Source organism: Homo sapiens, chromosome 6 (genome assembly GCF_000001405.40).
Source record: "Homo sapiens chromosome 6, GRCh38.p14 Primary Assembly".
In the NCBI taxonomy this organism is placed as follows: Eukaryota; Metazoa; Chordata; class Mammalia; order Primates; family Hominidae; genus Homo; species Homo sapiens.
The window spans coordinates 76,800,577-76,826,758 of record NC_000006.12 but is presented as its reverse complement, the minus strand read 5'-3'; the positions used below and the strand labels follow the sequence as shown (position 1 = coordinate 76,826,758).

Genomic DNA, 26,182 nt, shown 5'->3' with positions numbered 1-26,182 from the left:
AGTTTCAAGTGAGCACAATCAAAAATGATAAATGTGACATCACAGCACATATCACAGAAATTCAAAAGATCATCAGAGTAAAGTTTCAGGATACAAAACTACCATACAAATACTAGCTGCATTTCTATACATCGACAATGTTCAAGTTGAGAACCAAATCAAGAATTCATTGTGTTTACAATAGCCACACATACACACACCTAGGAATACATTTAACTAAGGAGGTGAACAATATCTACAAGGTGAACAAGAAACACCGATGAAAGAAATTGTAGATGACAAAAACAAATGGAAAAATATTCCCTTCTCACGAATAGGAAAAATCAATATTGTTAAAATGACCATACTGCCCAAAGCAATCTACAGATTCAACACAATTCCTGTCAAATTACTAACATAATTTTTCACATAATTAGAAAAAAAACAATTCTAAAATTCATATGGAACCAAAAAAGAGCTTGAATAGCCAAAGCAATCCTAAGCAAAAATAACAAAGCTAGAAGCATCACATCACCTGACTTCAAGCTATACTATAAGGCTATGGTAACAAAAACAGCATGGTACTGGTACAAAACACAGACACATAGATAAATGGAACAGACTGCACAGCTGAGAAATAAAGACATACCTGCAACCAACTGATTTTCAAAAACTCAACAAAAAGAAACAATGGGGGAAGGACATCCTATTCAATGCTATTCAATGAATGGTGCTGGGAAAACTGGCTACCCAAATGCAGAAGAATGAAACTGGACCTCTATCTCTCACCGTATACCAAAATTAACTCAAGATGGATTAAAGACTTAAATATAAGACCTGAAACTATAAAAATCCTAGAAGAAAGCCAAGGAAAAACTCTTTTGGACATTAGTCCATGGAAAGAATTTATGACTAAGTCCTCAAAAAGAGACACAACAAAAACAAAAATGGACAAATAGGACTTAAACCAAAAAAGCTTCTGCATAGCAAAATAAATAATCAATAGAGTAAACAGATAACATACAGAAGAGAATAATTTAAAGGGAGAAAATATTTGCAAACTATGCATCTGACAAAGGGATAATATCCAGAATCTAAAAGGAATTCAAACAACTTAATAACAAAAGCTAAATAACCCTGTTTTAAAGTGGGAAAAAAAACATGAATAGACATTTTCCAAAGAAGACATACAAGCAGCTGACAAACATAAAAAATCTCAACATTACTTATTATCAGATAATTCAAATTAATACCACAACGAGATACCGTCTCACACCAGTTGGAATGGATATTATGAAAAAGTCAAAAAACAATAGATGTTGGAGAGAATGTTGGAAAAGTGAAGGCTTATATGCTGCTGGGAAGAATGTAAACTAGTACAACCTCTATTGTAAACAGCTTGGATATTCATCAAAGGAATGAAAATATAAGTACCATTTAACCCAGCAATTCCACTACTGAGTGTCTTCCCAAAGGAACAGAATTTTATCAAAAAGTCACGTGGACTCACATGTTTATCACAGCAAACAATATTTACAATAGCGAAGTCACAGATTCAAACTAAGTGTCCATCAGAGGATGATAGTTTTTTAAACATCATGTAAATATATACTAATTGTATGTACGGTTGAATACTAATCAGTTATAAAAAGAATAAAGAATCAGAAGTGATAGGGGTAACATCACCTCTGACCCCACAGAAATACAAGCAACCATCAGAGAGTACTATAAACACCTCTATGCACATAAACTAGAAAAATCTAGAAGAAATGGATAAATTCCTGCAAACCTACACCCTCCCAAGACTGAAAAAGGAAGAAATTATATACCTGAATAGACCAATAATGAGCTCTGAAATTGAGGCAGTAATTAATAGCCTACCAACCAAAAAAAATGCTCAGGACCAGATGGATTCACAGCTGAATTCTACCAGAGGTACAAATAGGAGTTGGTACCATTTCTACTGAAACTAACCAAAAAAATTTAAAAGAAGGTACTCCCCTCTAACTCATTCTATGAGGGCAGCATCATCCTGATACCAAAACCTGGCAGAGATACAACAAAGAAAAGAAAACTTCAGGCCAAAATTCTTGATGAACATTGATGCAAAAATTCTCAACAAAATACTGGCAGACTGAATCCAGCAGCACATCGAAAAGCTTATCCACCACGATCAAATTGGCTTCTTCCTTGGTATTCAAAGTTGGTTCAACATTCGCAAATCAATAAATGTGATTCATCACATAAACTGAATTAAAGACAAAACCACATGAGTATCTCAATAGATGCAGAAAAGGCCTTCAATAAAATTCAAGATCTCTTCATGTTAACTCTCAATAAACTACATACTAAAGAAACATATCTTCCGGGAAGTCAGGGACCCCGAACAGAGGGACCAGCTGGAGCCACGGCAGAGGAACATAAATTGTAAAGATTTCATGGACATGTATCAGTTCCCAAATAATACTTTTATAATTTTTTATGCCTGTCTTTACTTTAATCTCTTAATCCTGTTATCTTTGTAAGCTGAGGATGTATGTCACCTCAGGATCACTGTGATAATTGTGTTAACTGTACAAAGTGACTGTAAAACATGTGTGTTTGAACAATATGAAATCAGTGCACCTTGAAAAAGAACAGAATAACAGTGATTTTTTAGGGAATGAGGGAAGACAACCATAAGGTCTGACTGCCTGTGGAGGTGGGCAAAAAGAGCCATATTTTTCTTCTTGCAGAGAGCCTATAAATGGACATGCAAGTAGGAGGGATATCACTAAATTCTTTTCCTAGCAAGGAATATTAATATTAATACCCTGGGAAAGGAATGCATTCCTTGTGGGGAGGTCTATAAACGGCCACTCTGGGAATGTCTGTCTTATGCCGTTGAGATAAGGACTGAGATACGCCCTGGTCTCCTGCAGTACTCTCAGGCTTACTAGGGTGGGGAAAAACTCCGCCCTGGTAAATCTGTGGTCAGACCGGTTCTCTGCCCTTGAACCTTGTTTTCTGTTATTTAAGATGTTCATCAAGACAATAAGTGCACCACTGAACATAGACTCTTATCAGCAGTTCTGCTTTTTGCCCTTTGAAGCATGTGATCTTTGTACCTACTCTCTGTTATTACATCCCCTCCCCTTTTGAAACCCTTAATAAAAAACTTGCTGATTCGAGCCTCAGGTGGGCATCATTGTCCTACCAATATGTGATGTCACCCCCTGCAGCCCAGTCATAAAATTCCTCTCTTTGTACTGTGTCTCTTTATTTCTCAGTCAGCTGACACTTAGGGAAAATAGAAAGAATCTATGTTGAAATATTGGAGGTGGGTTCCCCGATAAACATACCTCAAAATAATAAGAGCCATGTATGAAAAAGCCACAGCCAATATCATATTGAATGAGCAAAAGCTAGAAGCATTCTTCCTAGAAAACCAGCACAAGACAAAGATGTCCTCTCTCACCACTCCTATTCAACATAGCATTGAAAGTTCTGGCCAGGAAAATCAGTTAAAAGAAAGAAAGAAAGTGTGTTTAAATAGGAAGAGAGGAAGTCAAACTATCCTTGTCTACAAGATGACATGACCCTATATCTAGAAAACCCCATTATCTCAGCCCAACAGCTTCTCTCTCTTTTTTTTTTTTTTTTTTTCAGATGGAGTTTCATTCTGTTGCCCAGGCTGAAGTGCAGTGGCATGAACTTAGCTCACTGCAACCTCTGTCTCCTGGGTTCAAGTGATCCTCCCACATCAGCCTCCCAACTAGCTGGGATTACAAGTGTGACCCACCACACCTGGCTAATTTTTGTAGAGACTCAGTTTCATCATGTTGGCCAGGCTGATCTCAAACTCTTGACTTCAAGTGATGCACCTACCCCCGCCTCCCAAAGTGCTGGGATTACAGGTGTGAGTTTCCACACCAGGTCCCCAAAATCTCCTTAAGCTGGTAAGAAACTTCAGCAACATTTCAGGATACAAAATCAATGTGCAAAAATGGCTAGCATTTCTATACACCAACAACAGTCAAGCTGAGAGCCAAATCATGAATGAACAACCATTCACAACTGCCATAAAAAGAATAAAATACCTAGGAATACAGCTAACAAGGAAAGTGTAGGACCTCTTCAAGGAGAACTACAAACCACTGCTCAAGGAAATCAGAGCGGATACAAACAAATGAAAAAACATTCCATGCTCATGGATTGGAAGAATCAGCATTGTGAAAATGGCCATAGAGCCCACCAAAATTTATAGGTTCAATGCTATTCCCATTAAACTACCATTGGCATTCTTCACAGAATTAGAAACACACTATTTTAAAATTCATATGGTACCAAAAAAGACCGCAAACAGCCAAGGCAATCCTAAGCAAAAAGAACAAAGCTGGAGGCATCATGCTACCCAACTTCAAACTATACTACAGGGCTGCAATAATCAAAACAGCATGGCACCCATACAAAAACAGACACATAGACCAATGGGAACAGAATAGAGAACCCAGAAATAAGACTGCATACCTAAACTATTTGATCTTCAACAAACCTAACAAAAACAAGCAATGGGAAAAGGATTCCCTGTTTAATATGTGGTGTTGGGAGAACTGGCTAGCCATATGCAGAAAATTGAAACTGGATCCCTTTCTTATATCATATACAAAAATAAACTCAAAATGGATTAAAGACTTAAATGTAAAACCAAAAACTATAAAAATCTAGAAGAAATGAATGGCAAAACCATTCAGGGCATAGGCATGAGCAAAGATTTCATGGTGAAGACAGTGGAAGCAATTGCAACAGAAGCAAAAATTGACAAATGAGATCTAATTAAACTAAAGAGCTTCTGCACAGCAAAAGAAACTGTCAACAGAGTAAACAGAAAACCTACAGAATGAGAGAAAATTTTTGCAATTTATCCATCTGTCCAAGGTCTAATAACCAGACTCTATAAAGAACTTAAAAAATTTACAAGGAAAAAACCATTAGTTCGACCATTGTGGAAGACAGTGTTGCGATTCCTCAAAGACCTAGAGGCAGAAATACCATTTAACCCAGCAATTCCATTACTGAGTATATACCCAAAGGAATATAAATCACTCTGTTATAAAGATGCATGCACGCATATATTTATTGTGGCACTACTCACAATAGCAAAGACATGGAATCAACCTTAATGCCCATCGATGGTAGACTGGATAAAGAAAATGTGGTACATATACACTATGAAATACTATGCAACCATAAAAGGGAACGTGATCATGTCTTTGCAGGGACATGGATGGAGCTGTAAGCCATTATCTTCAGCAAACTAATGCAGAAACAGAAAACCAAATACCATGTGTTCTCACTTACAAATGGGAGTTAATGATGAGAACATATGGACACATAGGAGGAACAACACACACTGGGGCCTGTCACATGGTGGGAATGGGAGAAGGGAGAGCATTAGGAAAAATAGCTAATGGAAGCTGCACTTAATATGCAGGTGATGGAATGACCTGTGCAGCAAACAACAATGGCACACATTTACCTATGTAACAAACCTGAACATCCTGCACATGTACCCCACAACTTAAAATAAAAGTTGGAAATTAAAAAAAATAAAATAAAATCATGTCATTTGCAGCAACATGGATGGAGCTGGTCATCATTATCCTTAGAGAAATGACTAAGAAGCAGAAAGTTAAAAGTTGCCTGTTCTCACTTATAAGTTGGAGCTAAACAATGGGTGCACACAGACATATAGAGTGGAATAATAGATACTGAAGATTCCAAAAGATGGGAGGATGAGAGGGGGGTGAGAACTGAAATACTACCTACTGGGTACAATGTACATTATTCCATTGTACCTGTTGGGTACAATGTACTTTAAAAGCCCAGATTTCACCACTACCCAATATATCTTGTAAAACAACTGCACTTGTACCCCAAATTCATGAAAATTAAAAAATAAATAAATAAAAATAAATTAAAAGTCAATGTTGTTTCACATTCTAGTATGAAAATGTAGAATTTGTGTAGTGTGTATCAATGAAATCATATAGTGCATACATATTATTTTCTGTGTAGTATCTTTCACTCGATGTTAGGTTTATATGATCACACCATGATGTGGCTGCAGTTCATCCATACTGCATTCTATAAATATATAAAAATTATTTTCACATTCTACCATTGATTATTTGAGTTGTTTCTATTTTATGACTTGTGAAAAATTCCATTATGAACACTCATCTATATAGTTCTTAGTAGCCTACTGGGTAAATACCAAAAATGGAGAGCTAACCAATGGATGCATATGGACATAAAGATGGAAATAATAGAACTGGGGACTCCAAAATTAAGGAGTGTAGAAGTGGAGTGAGAGCTGGAAAATTATCTAATATGTACAATGTTTACTGTCTGGATAATGGGTACACTAGAAGCCCAATCCCCACCAGTACATATTGTATCCATGTAAGAAACATGTACATGTACTCCCTGAATCAAAAATAAAGTAAAAATTAAGTTCAATTTTACAAAGAAAAAATGCTAGAGTAATTAACTATGGCCATGGATTCAAGAATAGACAAAATTTTAAAACCTAGTGAGAATACCCACACGTATAATGATACGTGATTTAAAGCAAAGATGGCACAGCTGAGCAGTGGAGGAAGAACAAGTAGACTGTTTTCAAAAACTTGTGCTTAGACATTTAGAAATCTGTCTAGATAAAAAGAGAATTGGACCCTATATCACATCACTCACTTAACAATAAATTCCACACATTATAGACTCTTATGTGAAGCATATAGACTCTTATGTGAAGCATAGAACATAATGCTTTTAGAAGATAATATAAGCGAATATCTTCATGTCATCATTCTAGAGAAAGATTTCTTAACTAGGACACAAAGCACACTAACAATCAAGGGAAAACCTTTCCCATTTGGCCACATTCAAATTACGAACTTTTAAAAAGAACAACTGAGAGTATGAAAAGGCAAGCCACATATCAGTAAAAATTTGTAACCCTGTAACAGACAAGGAGTTTGTATCCAGATTTTGTAAAGAAGTACAAATCAATAAGAAAAACACAAGAGACAGATTTTCCATTAAAAGACAGAGAGAGAGAGAGAAGACTTGAATAGGCACTTTATATAGAGGGATATTAATAGCTCGTAAATATGAAAATGTAACCGTCTCAAGAGAAATAAAAAAATGCACATTAAAACCGCAGGGAGAAGCAACCACTGCCCACTAAATAGATACAATAAAAAAGACCAATAATACCAACTGCTGTCAAGTATTGAAGCTACAGGAACTCATATATACTGATGATGGGACAACTGTTGGGAAAAAAACTTGGCATTATTTACTAAAGTTTAACAAGTTTGAACTGTGCATTCCCTATGACCAAGCAATTCCACTTCTATACTGCATTGTATAAATATATAAAAATTATATATTTATTTGTTCAGCAGGACACTAAAAACTATTTAGAAGAGTGTTCATAATGAAATTGTTCACAATAGTTATAAAATAGAAACAACCCAAATGATCAATAGTAAAATGTGAAATTAATTTATATATTTATACAATGCAGTATGAACTGCAGCCACATGCATGATATGATCATATAAGGATAACATTGAGTGAAAGAGCCCATATACAAAATAATATTTAGACACTATATGATTTCATTTGCACACACGACCTAAATTGGCAAAATTAAAATTTCTGTAGAAGCTCTTCCAACGAACATGTTATGAATTATGAAAATAAAAGAAGTGATTACGTAAAAATCAGGATAGTAATTAAGGGGAAGGAAGGAGACATAGGGTTGGGGATGGGGAATATGAGAAGCAGGCCTCTGGAGTACGATAATGTTCAATCTCTTGACCAGAGTGATGTCACGGGATCCTTGGAGTGTCACTTCTTCAGCCAGAAACCTCCCTGGCCAGTGGTGCCTTTGCCCAAGTTTTACTTGGGCCCCCTGGGCTCATTCCACCCACCCAACCTGGCAGGCTGCACTAGGCTGGCACTACCAGCCCACATCCCATACCTGCCAAGGGCAAGCCAGGTGCGGAGCAGTGAGGGGCGTGTGAGCTTGTGATCATGGGGTCTGGCCACTGCACAGAGCCGGGCATGTTGGCTGCAGTGGGGCAGGCAGCTCCAGGCAGACATGGGTGCTGGCTCCCTGTGAGGCTGTGTCTGGACCAGGCATACTGCAAGTGGTTTCCACTGCAGGCACCAGGGAAGGCAGTGGCATCTGGAAGCTTGGGGACACCAGGAACCGCAGAGCCCCAAAGAGGGAGTCACAGCCCTGGCTCAGGGAGCTCCTAGGTCTGGGCTCCCCAAAGGGCCTCAGCTCTTCTCGTCACCTGCAATGTGGCAAGTAGGGGACGTGTTTCAGCCTTGTTTGTATTACAGCTCTTTCAGCCCCAACATTCAGTGAGTCCTAAGTTCTTGTACCAGGTCCAAGAAAAATGAGACATCTGGACAAGTGGAGGGTGAGCAAGGTGAAGAGGTGCTTTCCTGAGTGACAGACAGAGGAGACCTGCAGTGGGTAGCTCCTCTCCAAAGGCAAGTCATCCCAACAAGTGCAGCTCTCAGCAGAGAGGAGACCCACAGTGGGTAGCTCCTCTCCACAGGCAGTTTGTCCCATTTTCTGCCCAAGTCTAGGAGACTCTGGAGTCTTTATGGGCTTCCGAGGGGAGGAAGTGCATGCTGATTGGTCCATGAGTGGCCATGGGCAGGCTGGAAAAAGCACCGTAAGTTCTCACTCCAGTCCACAAAACTGGCAGCCCAGCCCCCAGGCCTCAGGCCGTCACTGGCCTGAAGGTAGGATTTCATAGAGTACCTTCCCCTTTTTGCCCAGGAGCCTGTCTGCCTTCTGCTGCCATTAACCTGCCATCCACAGTGCCCACAGCACCCAGTGCATGTTGAGGGGTGTCTGCAGGCCCATACTGAGCCGCTCTTAAGCCCCCCATGGGGTCCCTCTTGTGCTTCTAGATGCCCAAAGTCTGGAGGCAGCCAAGGTGGCAGGGAACTGGCGTGTCAGCACTGCCCTCAGCATATGCACACCTGGCTGGGTTGTGACAGTGCCCAGGCTCAGTCACAACTTTGCTCTGAAACTGGAGTGGGAACTGGGAGCGGGTAGAGGCCAGGCAGCAGGAGTAGGTACTTCTGTGTCTGCAGGGGCAGGGAGGCTTCCTGGGCCCCCGAGAATGCAGAGATGCCTAGGTCTGAAGCCATGGCTGGGTGGCTGCAGCTGTGCCTGGGACGGTAGGGCTCTCGCCCCTCCAACCTGCAAGGGGACAGGGCTTCCACCTGTTCCCAGCTCCTGCTTGCTCCCTGGATCATGTAGCCCAGGCAGAGCCTCCCCCACTGCAGCCAGCATCATGGCAGCCTGCTCTTAGACAGGCCATAGATGCCAACAGTGGTAGTTACACAGATGCTCATTTTATAATAATAAATGTGACCATTTGTTGAGGGGTTGCATTTTTGGCATGTGTGTTAAATTTCACAATAATAAAGTATAAAAGTTATATATTTGTTTCAAAGTATATTCAGGAGACTATTTTTTATTAACCTGTTTAAATTTGTATCACTAAAATAAAATAACACTATATGGATGAAGGGGATGAAGGATGGGCAACAAGTGCAATATCATTATTATTGTTTCTCTTATATCCGCAAGGAGCTCTAATATATTAACCAAAGGAAGAAAATACAGAGAAAAAGATACTCAAATTATTTGAGTCATATGGATGCAAACAGGCACTATCAACTTTTTTATTGCATGATTACAATGAGTAAATATGATACAAGAGATGTTTCTTACTGCTAATATAATTGAGGAATATACAAATCATGTAGTCTCTTGAAGATCTGTTTAAGACTATTAATTTGTAGACTCCTGATATTAAGTGGACCAGGTGTCTCATCACTTGAGAAAAATACTGGACAAAATTTGTTGAGGTGTCATACAGGTATTTCCTTTGCAAATATAATGAAGGAAAGATTGCCTTTTTGCCTTTGACTTGTTCTGGGTTTTGTTTTTGCTTTTTATCATAGTTCATTATTTTTCAGTTGAATAAATCTACATTTTATTCCATAATAATCTACATTTGAGTGATTATGAATCCCACATATGCATATTATGCATATTCTTGACACAATGAATTTAACATAATACAAATGGAGCCTGATATATGAATGACGTTTCAGATATATATCCATGTGTCATACTTATTGCATGCATCTTATTTATGCTGGTTTGTACAGTCTTCAAAAGAGTGTTCTGATCAACTTTCTGTCAGACCAGTGTGATTCATTTATAAGAAGGCATATTAGGCAACACAAAGAAGCATTAGTTTTTCCATGAATTATAGAAAGTCTGTTCTAACAGATTTGACTAAATGCTGTTAGATGTGCAAATGCTTCTTGATTATTTGTTAAGTATATAAACCAAACCTTGAACCTAAAATTGAGCCTATCCATAAAAATATCTGACATTTGATGAGCGTGTTACTTATTAAACCTTTCCTGTTTCAAATTGGTATACATGCAATAAAAAGCAACAAATACAATATCACCCATCATGAAAATTTAGGTATATATTATTATTTCTATTTTATAAAAAAAAAATCCCTCCCCCTCAAAAATTAGGTACATGGCAAAAACATGGCAGATGAAAAATGAAAAACAAGTTATTTTTTCTACAAAATTGGTTCTTTTTTTTTTCAGACAAAGATATCCACTTCATTAAAAAGTACTCTTTTGGAAATTTGTAAGTTTGTTGTTGTTTTAATATTTTTTTAAACATTGTTTTAACATTTTCTTTTTCTGCTTAGATGTAGACTTCACTTGTCAAATGACATAACCACAAATTCTAAATTGTTTCTCACTCAGGGGAGAATTTAATTCAGTATGTTTTTTACACTGTTTTACACAAATAATACTTTGAAACATAGATTATTGATGCAGAAAAAAAGTAAATATAAACTTAAATCCCTGCATACTTAGTACATAAGAACATAAATGTTTCCTTTCCTGAAAACAGAAATTCAATCTATTTTAAAATACAGAATAACAGATTGATTCATAGTTTTTCACCCAAATGCAAACCCTCTTTTAAGCAGTAATCATTAGAACTGCATATCACAGAAGATTAAAACTATGAAATCATAGAAACATTTTATTCTGAGTAGTTATTAAACATATATTTATTTGGTAAATGTTCTCTACCACTAAGAATATTTTATAATTATGTCTGTGCAAGACAGTGTAGAAGGCATTCTTTTGAATTGTCACTCTGCAAGAGCCTGTTTATAGAATGGAAGCTTGCTGATTATCGTTTTACTACTCTCCCAAATCTATAATTCTGTATTCAATAAATGCTAGTTTTACACTCCTTTGCTTCAGCTACTTAAATAATCACTTAAGCTTTCACTACATGTGGATTGACAAAACTCACCACGTATTTCCAACGTAGTGTGCCTAGCTAAGAACATGCCTGTAGCTCAAAGTAGCTGCAAGTAATTTTCCTTCTGCCAGATAACAGCAGTTGCTTGTATTGCCTTTCAGTAGTTAACGTGGGAGCAGCTTGTGTTAGAGGCTACTGATACTGTGGACTTTTTAAAAAATGTATTCTTTCTTTAATCTCATGCTCTGTGCTCTTGCTCTTATTCCTAAAATTCCATAACTGACTGCAGTAGTTAACTGTAGCCCCTAACCTCAGCTGCTTTCTAGATAGTCACTTTCCCAAGGGAGAAAAACATTTTGTGATCTTGACCTTATGAAACATGTTCAATAATGTTGGAAAAAAAAGAGAGGAGAGTACATCTTACGAAGATGTAAGATGGGAAAGACCAGATGTCAAGACATAATAACAATTTGATTACTTAAATGTTTCTATAAATGTTTGACTTTCTTAATTAACCCTCCACCCCCATTCTCCAAAATTTAAAATAAAGGGCAGAGAGATAAAGTTGTTTAGAGGACAAAGTACTACAGAGTGGAAATTTTCATCTGACCCTAGTGTACAAAAATGTCTTCTGGATTTTTCCCTCCGATTTACAAGGTCTATGTTTAGAAATCTGGCTGTGGGATGACTTTGCGAAATAGCACTCTGAAAAATCACATAGTCAGTGCTTAGGCAATTCACACTGGCTCTTATCTAGGACAAGTGTTTAAGGTATTTTTTTCTTAATTCAAAGTCATTTTTCTAGGTTGAAAGCACTCTTTAGTCTCCATAGTAATCTTTTGACTATTCAATAACATAATCTTAAATAACTTCATGTTTGTTCTGAAATAAAAGATCCTGCTGTCTTTCTTATTACTTGAACACTTGGAAGAAGAGGAAAAAATGCTCCAGAATAATTCCATGACTAAAGGATGAAAGCTCTTCAACAAAAAATTCCTGGTTCTCATCTGTCAGGGCTCTGTGGGAAAAGAAAAAATCTGGGAACAAGTTCTAATAAATATCTTGGCCCCTTTTCTGAAAACAGTTTAACATCCAAAGTATAATAGGGAATAGCCTACTTAATATTAATACTTGATATATAAATAGATTATATACATAGATATTTTATATTCATTTATATATTTGCATATATGATATATATACTATATATACACTTTATATTTAGAATATGTAACCACAGAATATAAACACTATGTAACCACAGTATATAAAATATTTTGCAATTATATTAATTTTAGATTTGCAATTATATTAATTATACATTTGCAATTATATTTAGGACTAGGTAGAACTAAACTCTAGAAGCTTACTGAGATAAATTGAAACAAACATGCAGGTGAACATTTTTGTACTCTTATTAATATGAAGAGATTGTTGCCTACCATGCCTAATAATAACCAATGCCATATGTGTTTGTATTAGACCAAGTTTCAGGAAGCCAGAATAATGCATAATAGATATCTCGATTGATAATGTAAAAGGAAAATAAAGTCTCAGGACCCCAAACTTACTATGCCGAAGGGAAAAGTTAATCTTGGTAACTTAGTCACACAAAAAGTACCTTCCTTTTGTTCCCAAAGCCATGACTCTAATTTTACATGGTTACTTGTATTAGGTAAAAAATCTAGATTTACTGAGAACAAGATTAATGCATAATTGACTTTCCCTCTACCCACTTCTTTCCACTTGTAAAATGTAGATTCACTGAGCACTAATCAGAGCCTCACAAGAAAATAACCACTTGCCTCATTGTCTACCCTCCCTTCCTTTTTTTTTTCTTTTTTCTTTCTCACATGTTCTTTCCCTTTAAATATCGAAGGTCTCATAACCCTCTTTGAAAAAAGCATGGGACACAGATCCTACATTGACTTGTGTTTCTTTTTCCTGGGCATGTCCTTAATATTGACAAAATAAACCTCTAAATTGATTGAGATCTGCCTCAGTCACTTTTTGGTTTACAATAAGGAGTCTAATGTCTTTAATTAATGATGGGAAGAAAACCACATGGCAGTGGTGAGGGAATAGCAAGATGGTAAATTATAATGGTGTTAGCCTCAATGTAGTAGTGGCTCTTTCTAGCAAAGAAAATAAAAATAATAGTTTCCAAAAAATGCAGCTTGCAAAGAAGCTGTTGACCCAAGCTGTTATCTTAGAATACTTCATTTTGAGAATGCAGTCTTCATGAGATAGCCAAGTTTAGTTAAGATTTGAAGGTAGAAGAGATATTCAGAAAGGAGACTGCGGATTCAGGGCTGATCACTCATTTGCAATTCTAAGAACACAGACTTGGATAGCACAGGAGGAGTGCACAGATTAGTGCACCGTAAAGGTAGGAGTTCCACTGATAATGGTGACTATGGAACCTCAAAATTGTACCAGTGCCTAAATTAAATGAGCATGGGCCATGTTGGAGTTTGTCCTGATAGTGTCTTAGAGGACAGTGGATGTTCATACTAGTAAGAGTAAGGTAGCATCAGTAAGATGGCTTATGAGACAGCCTTTCCCTGACACAGTGTATCTCACAATGACTGGAAATAGGATGGGAGATAAGAGTCAATAAATAAACTGATGTTACAGATAGACAAGCTCAAGAGAGCACTACTAACAAAGTTATGCGGCATAAACAAACCTGGCAACATTCAGAGACTTCAAATAGTTAAGTATGGCTGAAGTGAAGCCAGTAGAGAGGGTTCCTTTGAGAGTGAGTGCTGGAGACAGTCAGAAGTGGCTATGAGGGCCTTGCTGGTTACATCAAGACAATTTTCTTGAAACAGTGGTCTAAAGGCCACGTGCACCTAAAGCACCTTGAGTTATTGTTAAACACCCAAACTTCCAAATCCCTCTCCATTCCTAATAAGTAAGAATTGCTGAAATACAGGGCCTGGGAATCGGCTCCTTAAAAGGAGGCAGGGGATTACTACAAAGACTACCTGAAAGCAAGTTTTTTGACATTTAATTTCATAGGCAAAGGGAGAAAATGAAGTGTTCAGAAAGGGAGTATCATCATCATCATCCTATTTTTATGGCTCCATATAGAAAAGTATTTGGTGTACATACAAAACTACTGCCTTCTAATGCACTTTATAAGTTTTAAGTTAAACTAAAATTTAGAAATGGATACTTTATTTTTATTACATTTTGCTTTTACCAACTATTTCATCTTACTCATCCTGAATATGCCAAATATGAAAATACTAACAGTAGCTGGCTATGAAGTTGAGATTATTAGTGATCTCTGTTTAAATTATATTTGGTGTTTTCTCCACTTGGTTATGAAATTAGATTACTTAAGTAATAATAAATATTTTATATGTGATAAAAATGAAAGAAAAGGCAAAATGTTATCAATCTAATGTAAGCAAATCCTGGATCAGCTACATTTAAATGAGAGTGAGATATTAAAGATGAAAAATTATTGAACGGAAAAGGGAAGGTCATTTTACATAAATGAAACTAAAGTCTACAAATTTTAAGGGCAATTAAATAACGTTACATAAAAAATAAGAAAGCTATATAAATATATTTGTTATAGGTAACACTTTAATATAACTCTCTATAGATTACAAAAATAAAAATTTAAATAAGATAAAATTTAACTAAGTAAAATAATTAAGCAATATAGGCCAGGCACGGTGGCTCCCACCTGTAATCCCAGCACTTTGAGAGGCCGAGGTGGGCGGATCATGAGGTCAACAGATGGATACCATTCTGGCCAAAATGGTGAAACCCTAAAATACTAACAGTACAAAAGTTATCTGGGTGTGGTGGCACATGCCTGTAGTCCCAGCTATTCGGGAGGCTGAGGCAGGAGAATCGCTTGGACCCGGGACACAGAGGTTGCAGTGAGCCAAGATCATGCCACTGCCTTCCAGCCTGGTGACAGAGTGAGACTCCATCTCAGAAAAAAAAAAAAAAATTAATCAATATAATGAACATTTTTTTCTATAAATATTTTCCATTTCCTTAGGCTACCAAGGTATTGATCATTTGTTTGTGAACTCTATCATTTAGAGTCTTGGCAGGAAACAAATTGCACACAAAAGATAGCTAATTTGAGAAGAGTTTTAAAAATAGGCTATTTACAAAGAAAAGGTCAAGATATAGAGAAACCACAGGGAGGATGCAACATCCAGAAGCTAGCTCCAGATTCCTGAAAATGTGAGGGGAGGGAGCCTAAAAACCCTGAAAGAACTATCAGAAAATGTTGTAACGTTCAAAAAAGGGAAGGAGCCGAGGGAATAAATATCTTAATTGTCTTCTCTCTCTTTTGTCTCCAGAGGAGCTTACTCTTTCCTCCTCTATGGGTAAAGACAGTCAGCAGCCAGTGGGCTCACAAGACCATGGATTATAGCCATACAATTCAGCCTCCTGTGAGACATGTAATGCAGAAAAATGTGCACATCTGATCCGTCAGGTCAAACAGAAGATAGCAAGCATCATCACAAGGACAAATTCCAATATGAAAATAAAATAGATGAACTTCATTCTCTAATCATAATTATTTCAATTTACTCCTAATTTAGCTAGACTCATTGAACTAGATGAAAATCATTGTCACTCTCATACCAGAACCATAAAGAAAAAAATTGGGTGTTGTATGTAGAAAAAGACTGAATGCATGTACATATGAAAGACCATATCTTGACTGATCTCCCCATTCTCAGTTACTCCCTCAGTGGGAAAACTGAAGGACAAAGCCATCATGCAACTCTCATGACCAGGTTCTGAAAGGAGAGACTTCCCTGATTCCCCTCGCAGGAAGTGCGACAAGGGTGGGTGTCGCCAGCTTGGTCGCCCAGCAGCTCAGACCCCTAGCGGGAGCACGCAGGCAGGCGCAGAGGCCCACGGGAGCGCTTTTGGGCTCCAACCCCAGACAGTGTCTAGGAGTGGGTGTCTGCGACTCCCTAAGCCCAAGTGGGCGTGTGTTACCAAACTCTTTCAGACTTGCGGTCTGCAGATGGTTTGTGTGTTAACCAGCTCAATGGACCCTTTGCCTTATCGCAAGGGCAGGGGGCCAGTGTGACAGCCTACTATATCCTGAGTCCTTCCCCAGTGTACCAGAAGAATCGGATCACAAGTGGGCTGGAAGGATGAATGCAAAGTTTTATTGAGTGGTGGAAGTGGCTCTCTGTGAGATGGATGCGGAGCTGGAATTGGGGGATGGAGTGGGAAGGTGGTCTTTCCCTGGAGTTGGGCCGCCCAGCGGCAGGACTCTTCTCCGCCTGCCCGCTGCTGAACTCCCCTCAAGTCCAATCCCTACTCTTCTCTCTTTTTCTGCTGCGTTGTTCCGCAGTGGCTTGGTCTGCTGGTCCCGATGTTCAGCCGCTTCTGTTTGTGCCCGCTAAGGTTTCAGGTTTATATGGGGGAAGAATGGGGGTGCAGCGGGCCAAAAGGCAACTTTTGGGGCGTGAAAACAGAAATGCCTGTCCTCATTTAGGGCCACAAGTCTTCAGGCTTGAGAGTCGGGCCTTTGCTGGAGAACCGCCCTCTTCTACCCAGTATTTTCCTGTCTCCCGTCCGTATCATTTCCAGGCCATCCTTAGAGTTTTCCCCAACTTCTGTCTGTATAAGTCAGACCTGCTAAATTGCTCTATCCCAAAAGTTGGCAAAATATGGCCCATAGGCCAAATCCAACTTAACACTTGTTTTAAAACAACACAAAGCAACAATCACAAAAAAAAAAAAAAAAAACAGTTGTATTGGAACACAGCCATGCACATTAATTTACATATTGTCTATGTCTTCTTTTACACTACAACACAGTTGAGTAGCTGCAATATAGACAATACAACTGGCAAAAGTTAAAATATTTACCATCTGGTCCTTTACAGAAAAAGTGTGGCAGCTCCTTCTCTGTCCCCCTATATTAGTTACCTCTGCAGTAGAAGGCATATTTTCTATTGATATATTTACTTCTACAGCTTGCTAATTAGAATATCGCTGAATTTATTAGCTCAATTCTTTCATCTTGCTTAGTTAGACAAAACTTAGAGGTATTAAAACAATATCAGGGCCAGGCTTGGTGACTTACTCCTGTAATCCCAGCACTTTGGGAGGCTGAGGCAGGCAGATCACTTGAGGCCAGGAGTTTGATACCAGCCTGGCCAACATGGTGAAACCCCTTTTTTACTAAAACTACAAAAAAAAAAAAAAAAAAAAATTAGCCAGGCACAGTGGCATGTGCCTGTAATCCCAGCAACTCAGGAGGGTGAAGGACAAGAATTGCTTGAACCCGGGAGGTGGAGGTTGCAGTGAGCCAAGATCACACCACTGCACTCCAGCTTGGGCAACAGAGTAAGACTCTGTCTCCAAAAAATAAAAATAAAAATAAAATAAAACAAAACAATATCCCTGGTAGAATTTGGCTATTGTTTTATTTTATTTTTATTTTTTGGAGACAGAGTCTACTATAAAGACACATGCACATGTATGTTTATTGCAGCACTATTCACAATAGCAAAGACTTGGAACCAACCAAAATGTCCACCAGTGGCAGACTGGATAAAGAAAATGTGGCACATATACACCATGGAATACTATGCAGCCATAAAAACAGATAAGTTCATGTCCTTTGAAGGGACATGGATGAAGCTGGAAACCATCATTCTTAGCAAACTATCACAAGAACGGAAAACCAAACACCACATGTTCTCACTCATAAGTGGGAGTTGAACAATGAGAACACATGGACACAGGAAGGGGAACATCACACACCAGAGCCTGTCAGTGGGTGGGGGGCTAGGGAAGGGATAACATTAGGACACATACCTAATGTAGGTGACAGGTTGATGGGTGCACCAGACCACCATGGCACGGGTATACCTATGTAACAAAACTGCATGTTCTGCACATGTACCCCAGAACTTAAAGTATAATTTAAAAAAAAAAGAAAAAAAAAGTAACAATCATAATTATGATCGAATGCAGTTATTAAAAGAAGACAATATCAGGTTAACTATTTTGTGCTTAGTACATAGTATTTGCCTCTTATCATACTGCATATAAACAATTTTGAAAATTATTCTTTGATTCTCATGAACAAATTTAAAGTTTTTCTTTCCCCTAAATATGAAATAACCATTAGCCTAAATATGAGATAATCACAAATAAAATTGAATTTCCTAAATTAGAGCTTAAAAGGACAATTATCTGCATAAGGTGTGTGAAATTGGTCAGGTATAAAACAATAGGTGCTGAATTTCTAGAGTTATAATCAATTCCTGCATAGTTAACATTGCATCTTAAAGACTATTCACAGACATAACAAAATTTCTAAACAAAATATGTCCCTTGGTGGAATGCAGCCTTGTGGCCACCAGTGTGATACCTACTGAACAGAGTAATTTAAAAATGTAATAATTAAAGTTCAAGCAAGTAATTTCAGTTACTTAAAAAGCAAATGCTGTTCCTATAAATAACGGGTAAAAAAACTAATACAAATAATTGCAGATGATTTATAAAGTTATGAAAATGATTACATTATTCACAGAAATATTTCTTATAAAGTCAGAGTTGCACACAAATATAAAATTGCATACATCACTTCACAAGAAAACTTTTAAACTAAAGTAATATTGTGAGACAATAGAAAAGAAGCTGTTAATGCTTCCAGAAAAGACAAATAAAAGAAAGCAGAAATTAATGAGATTGCTTTAGAGTTTCAAAAATAAGAATAGTTATTGTAAAGAGTGAGAAAATTATTTCCCAATACTATTTGTCTTTTTAAGGCACAAGAGCAATATTCAGTAAAATTTATTAGAAGGAAAAAATACAGGTATCTCCCTGGTTACAAAATAAATGTTCACAAAGTAAAATTTATTTATACACTGAATAATCTCAGGAAATTTAATGGAAATAAAATATTGTGTAAAAGGGAGTTTTTTTTTTTTTTTTTTTTTTGAGACAGGGTCTCACTCTGTCACCCAGGCTGGAGTGCAGCAGCTCCATCACAACTCATTGCAGTCTCCACCACTGGGCTCAGTGATCCTCCCATCTCAGCCTCCCCAGTAGATGGAACTACAGGCACGCACCACCATGCCCAGATAATTTTTTTTATTATTTGTAGAGATAGGGCTTTGCCATGCTGCCCAAGCTGGTCTCAAACTCCTAGGCTCAAGTGATCCAGCCGCCTCCGCCTCCCAAAGTGCTGGGATTGCAGCCATGAGCCACTGCACCCAGCCAAATATTGTATTTTAAAAATCTACAAACTTATCTTAAATAATCTGTAACCATCTTAACAAGAAATATAAGAAACATAAATAAATAACTAAAATATTTACTACAAAGTCTTAAAAGGAGACTTATATAAAGTGGGGAACAAAGGCTTATTTTCTTGAAAATAAAAGCATGATATTATACAAATTATTCCTAACAAATATTTATAAATATGTAATGTACTTGCAAATAACATTCCCATAGACACATGCTTTTCATTTCTCTGAAGTCTATCAGGAAGGAATAAACAGAAAAGCAAATACTTTTTTTTCCTGGAACAGTGAAGAATGAGACAATCTTATATCTGCAAAATATTAGTGTAATATAAAGAAAAAAAATCAGGCTTCTGGTTATAAATAGTGAACTAAGCATATGTATTTTCCTCTGCTTCTTTCTAAACTCCTTAAAATAACAGTAAAATATGTTGTGTTGTGTTTTGTTTTGTCACAAAATTCCAGAAAGAAAAGAGACTGGAAGAGGAGAAAATAGAAACAAAATCTGAGATGTTTAGCAGGAAATGAGTGGTAAATAACTTAGAAGACCCCAGAAAACTGAACTGTAAGCAGGCACCGGAGTAAATTCCATTACACTGCAGAAACTTCTGAAGACTGAAGATGGATGGCATCATGTAGCTCTGGAAGTGCGGATAAAATTAGGGCTAATGGATCAGTTAAAATTGCAACTAACAAGTTACACCCTTGAGTACTCATGTTGATTCTGAGCAGAATAGTCCCTCCCATTCATCTCTCTTACTATGGATTGAGGATTTTTTTTTCTAGTGAAAATAACAGAATTCTGGCCTGGGAATCACTAGCACAGTTGAGGGTTAAGAGTCCAGCACTTACTGCAAACAGGGGCCTCAGTGAACCTTTACTCACTGAAGTATTGAAATATCTGGTATGACTTCCACACATACAGCTGCCATAATGTTGGCATTTTATACCTCTAGATAACTCATTGTAAAATTATTTTTCAGAAAATCTAACCAGGCCACGAAAAACATTCTACTAATAAAGATACATTGAGGTCAAAGTAATCCTTGTCAAACTATGTTCCATAGGAGAATTAATCATTACTTCTCTAGGGCTTCTGTCATATACAAATAATTAGCCTATCTTCTCTCCATTTAGAATGATACTAGCTATATAGCTTCCTTTGAAAGAATAAGAAAATAGTCACTCAAATAATATTCTGTCGCACTTATTTATTCTCTACTAGAAACCTAATGAGACAGATAGAACCTACCATGAAGTCTACAAAGCCCATTTATGCATAGAATGTGTCTAGGCATAGAATTATGCATAGAAGTTGTCAATCAGCTCCATGTCCTCTCAAATGTAAAAAAGTAAGCTATCTCAGACACACATAAGAAATGCCTGTTCTCATTTAGGGCCACAGGTCTTCAGGCTTGTGTGTGTGTGTCTGAGGTAGTCCTCCAATGTAAGAAATTGAGGCCAAGACAAACAAGTAAATATGCAAAGAGGAAAACAATACTTAGTAAAACAGACTACACAATATTTCTAAAATATTGCATCCATGAAACAAAAGCAAAGTGCTTTAATAAATGAATATTAGAGAAAAAAGAACATTTAGAAATCATAAACATGTTGGCAGAAATGAGAAAACAATAGAATGATTGGAAGATAAATTAAGATGATATGCTGGGAAGCAGATCAAAATTTTAAAAATGAAGAAAGGTAGTAAAAATATTTTTAAAGCTCACTTCAGTAGATCCAATATGCAAATCAGAGTACTATAAAGAAATTTGGGAAAGGGAATCATCAAAGAAATTTCCCAGAAGTAGGATTATGAATTTTTACTTTGAAATGATCCATTGAGTACTCAACACAATGGAAAAAATAAATTCACACACTCTCAGAATAATTTAAAATGTAAGGTACATCCCCATAAAATTTTAAAATGTAAGGGACATAGAAGAAAAATAAAAAAGCACCATACAAAGAATAATGAATCAGAATGTCGACAGCAACATGATATTGCCTTTAAAATTCTAGAGGGATGAATATTTCGAACCTAGCATTCTATCGCAGGCTGACTAATACAAAAATGGCAGAGCAGAATAGAAAACACTTTCCGACACACAATACCTCCAAAATCTTATCTTCCATGCAGCCGTTCTAAGGAAGAAACTGAGAGAGATCAAGAAAGAGGGAGACGTGGGATTCAGGAAACAAGAGATCGCTATGCATAAAAGAGACAAACAAAATGGATAATGGCAAAAGAAGATAATAAATAGCCTTGCAGGAGTGCTAGAAAACTACCGGTCTTGATTGGATCAGGCCATGAGTCCCTGGGAAAGATGTCTGGAAGAAAATGAAATTAATAAAATACTGCTCTGTTTAAAGACATTGAGAGGCAATTTAAGCTAGTGGAAGAGATTTAAAGGACACACTACATATAGATGAGGATAATTATTAATTCAGGAGAAAAGTATAGTTTTCAAACTATACTATATCATATTGTGCAACATAGGTCGTCTTTGAATTCATTCTATATAGTCAAAATATATAAAAATAAAAATAATGCAAACATTATTACGATATAACCAACTTGGAGTCATGAGGAGACAGGATTTATGCATGTGAGTAATAGAGTGGTAGAGAATATAATAATACTCATCTTGAAGAGTGGAAAGTTAATAGATAACAAAAATATAATGAAGCAGCCAGATAAACACATGATTCATAGATATGGAGGTAAACATCAAAAGTAACACCTGAAAGAGTTGCCAGAGCTTGCCACTTGCACCACAGATGCACTACCTTCTCTCTTATTCTATGTGCCCTAGTGTCTCCTGCCACAGAATCTGTAATCATGGGGTTCTTCCTGACCCTTCAATCCTTTTACACATTAACATCTACTCAATTTTTAGCTTTCACTCAATTGTCACTTCCTTAGAAAAGACATCTTAAACATTTAGAAACTCCATACTATGTCAAATTCTCTTATTTTGTCCTCTTATGACATTGTAAACTGTTTTGTAAAATGTGCCGTGGTTCCAATTGTACCTTACACTGTGAGCTCAGAAACCACATTAGTTTTGATATCCACTGTACTCTTGATACACAGCATAATGACTGCTGCAAAGTGGTGCCAATTAAGTATTTGCAAAATAACAAAATTAAACACTACAACTAATTAGCACAAAAGTACAAATTATAAGCCTACCTTAAAGGTTATGAATTTTAAAATTCTAAATAATATATTTACAAATAAAATTTAGCTATATATTAAAGAACAAATTTACCACAATTCAGCAACATTGTTTTCTGCAATGCATCTGTTACGAGAATTGATCTAATTAACATGAGAAATTAAAAAAGAAATATGAACACAGGGATTAAGATGGCAGAGAGAGGGCAGGACTAGCTTGCAGTTCCTGCTTGGATAGACAGAGCAGCATGTGGAGACTCATATCATGAACTTTTGTTACAAGAACTACTGTGGGAACATACTAGGAAAGCCAAGAGAATCCACAGACCCTTCAAAGGAAGGAATTAGATCACTGCTGGAGGCTTCCTGGGATGCTGAAAACCTGTGAGTCTGCTTGCTTTCTCAGCTGAGAGGCTTGTAGTCTGAGGCAAGTTCTCAGCCCTGGTTACCAGCTGCCTGGAAATATAGACTCGGTCCTGTTCGGGGGGTGGGGCACGATGGGAGTGAGACTGGCCTTAGGACTATGGGCTGCATGGGAGTGGTGAGTCCTGTGACTGCCAGCTTTTCCCCACTTCCCTGGGGACCTGTATGACTTAGCAGAAGCAGAATAATCCCCTGGGGAATATAACTCCATTGGCCTGGGAACCACATACCCCTCCCTCACAACACACACAGCAAGCCCTGCCCAAGGAGAGGCGGAGCTTAAACACACCGTTCCCTGTCCCCACATGGTGCACTTTCTCTACCTGCCCTGGTAGCTGAAGACAAAGGTCATAATCTCTTGGGAGCTCTATGGCCTTGCCCAACACCTGATAAGCCTGAATACTTAACCAGGTATTCCTATGGCAAGTTTGCATCCTCATTATAGGGCCACAGCTGAGACACTCTTGAAAGTGCTACCTCCTGGCTGGGGGTCAACCGACACAAAACCAGTGCACTAAACAAAAACACAACCAAAGATCCTCACAGAGTCCCCTTCCCTCCTCCCCTGCTACCTCCACCGGAGCAGTTGCTGGTATCTATGGCTGCAAGAACTGAAGATGGATCATATCAAAGGACTCTTTGCAGACACTCCTCAGTACCAGCTCAGGGCCCAGTAGATTCACTGGGTGGCTAGACCCAGAAGAGCAAAGACAATCACTACCATTTGGCTTTCAGGAAGCCCCATTCCTAGGGGAAGGGAAAGGACACCACATCAAGGGAGCACCCCATGGTACAAAAGAATCTGACCAGCAGCCCTTGAATCCCAGATCTTCCCTCTGACATAGTCAACCCAAATGAGAAAGAACCCAAAAAACAATTCTGGTAATATGACAAAACAAAGTAATTTAACATGCACAAAAGATCATATCAGCTCACCAGCAATAGAGCCAAACCAAAACAAAATCTCTGAGTTGCCAGAAAAATAATCCAGAAGTCTGATTATTAAGCTAATCAAGGAGGCACAAGAGAAAGGTGAAGTCCAACTTAAAGAAATCAAAAACATAATACCAAATATGAAAAAAAAAATTCTTCAGTGAAATGGATGGCATTAATAAAAACAATCACAACTTCTGGAAATCAAGGTCATACTTAGAGAAATGCAAAATGCACTGGAAAGTCTCAGCAACTGAATTGAACAAACAGAAAAAAAAAGAACCTTAGGGCTCAAAGACAAGGTTTTTGAATTAACCCAATCCACCAAAGACAAAGAAACAATAATTTTTAAAACGGAGCAAAGCCTCTAAGAAGATTGGGACTATATTAAATGTCAACCTAAGAATAATTGGTGTTCCCAAGAAAGAAGAGAAATCTAAAAGTTTGAAAAATATGTTTGAGGGAATAATCAAGGAAAACTTCCCCAGCCTTGGTAGAGATCCAGACATCCACATACAAGAAGCTCAAAGAACACCTGGGAAATTCATTGCAAAAAGATCATCACCTAGGCACATAGACATCAGGTTATCTAAAGTCAAGAAAATGGAAAGAATCTTAAGAGCTGTGAGGGAAAAGCACTAGGTAAACTGTAAAGAAAAACTTGTCAGTTTAACAGCAGATTTCTCAGCAGAAACCCTATAAGCTAGAAGGGATTGGGGCCCTATCTTCAGCCTCCTTAAACAAAACAATTATCAGTCAAGAATTTTGTATCCAGCGAAACTAAGCTTCATAAATGAAGGAAAGATACAGTCTTTTCCAGACAAAATGGTGAGAAAATTTGCCACTAACAAGCCAGCACTACAAGAACTGCTAAACGGAGCTCTAAATCTTGAAACAAATCCTTAAAATATGCTAAAATAGAACCTCCTTAAGGCATTAATCTCACAGGACCTATATAACAATAACACTTCGGAAAAAAAAAAACAAAGTATTCAAGCAACAAATAGCATGATGAATACAATAGTACCTCACATTTCAATACTAACACTGAATGTAAAAGGCCTAAATGTTCCACTTAAAAGATACAGAATGGCAGAATGGATAAGAATTCAACAGCCAAGTTTCTGCTGTCTTCAGGAGACTTAACTAACACATAAGGACTCACATAAACTTAAGGTAAAGAGGTGGAGGCCGGGCAGGGTGGCTCACGCCTGTAATCCCAACACTTTGGGAGGCCGTGGCGGGCAGATCACAAGGTCAGGAGATTGAGACCATCCTGGCCAACATGGTGAAACCACATCTAAAATACAAAAATACTAAAATTACAAAATTTTACTAAATTTACAAAAATACAAAATTTAGTTGGGTATGGTGGTGCATGCCTGTAATCCCAGCTAAAATAACAACTACAAAAATTACAAAAAGTAGTTGGGTGTGGTGGTGCATGCCTGTAATCCCAGCTACTCAGGAGGCTGAGGCATGAAAATCACTAGAACCTGGGAGGCAGAGTTTGCAGTGAGCCGAATCACACCACTGCACTCCAGCTTGGTGACAGAGCAACACACTCCATCTAAAAAAAAAGAAAGAGGTGGAAAAAGATATCCCATGCAAATGGACAACAAAAGCAAGCAGGAGTAGCTATTCTTATATCAGACAAAACAAACTTTAAAACAACAGCAGTTAAAAAAGACAAAGAGGGGGGCCAGGTGAGGTGGCTCACACCTGTAATCCCAGCACTTTGGGAGGCCAAGACAGGTGGATCACGAGGTCAGGAGATCAAGACCAATGTGGCTAACACGGTAAAACCCCATCTCTACTAAAAATACAAAAAATTAGCTGGGTGTGGTGGCAGGCACCACTAGTCCCAGCTACTCGGGAGGCTGAAGCAGGAGAATGGCGTGAACCCTGGAGGCGGAGGTTGCAGTGAGCTGAGATCGCACCACTGCACTCCAGCTTGGGTGACAGAGCAAGACTCCGTCTTAAAAAAAAGAAAAAAAGACA

The 26,182-nt window shown here is 37.7% G+C and overlaps 1 long non-coding RNA gene across 3 annotated transcripts in view; it reads right to left on the bottom strand.

Moving 5' to 3' along the window:
• The window catches only part of LOC105377862 (uncharacterized), a 322,839-nt gene that overhangs the window by 271,030 nt on the left and 25,627 nt on the right, over positions 1 to 26,182 (bottom strand). The window contains exon 3 of one of the 3 annotated variants that reach the window (NR_187978.1): positions 11,619 to 12,395. The exons of the other annotated variants lie outside the window; for them this stretch is intronic. This is a non-coding gene — a long non-coding RNA (uncharacterized LOC105377862). Of the gene's footprint in view, positions 1 to 11,618; positions 12,396 to 26,182 lie in introns of those variants that run through there. 3 annotated transcript variants of the gene reach the window in all.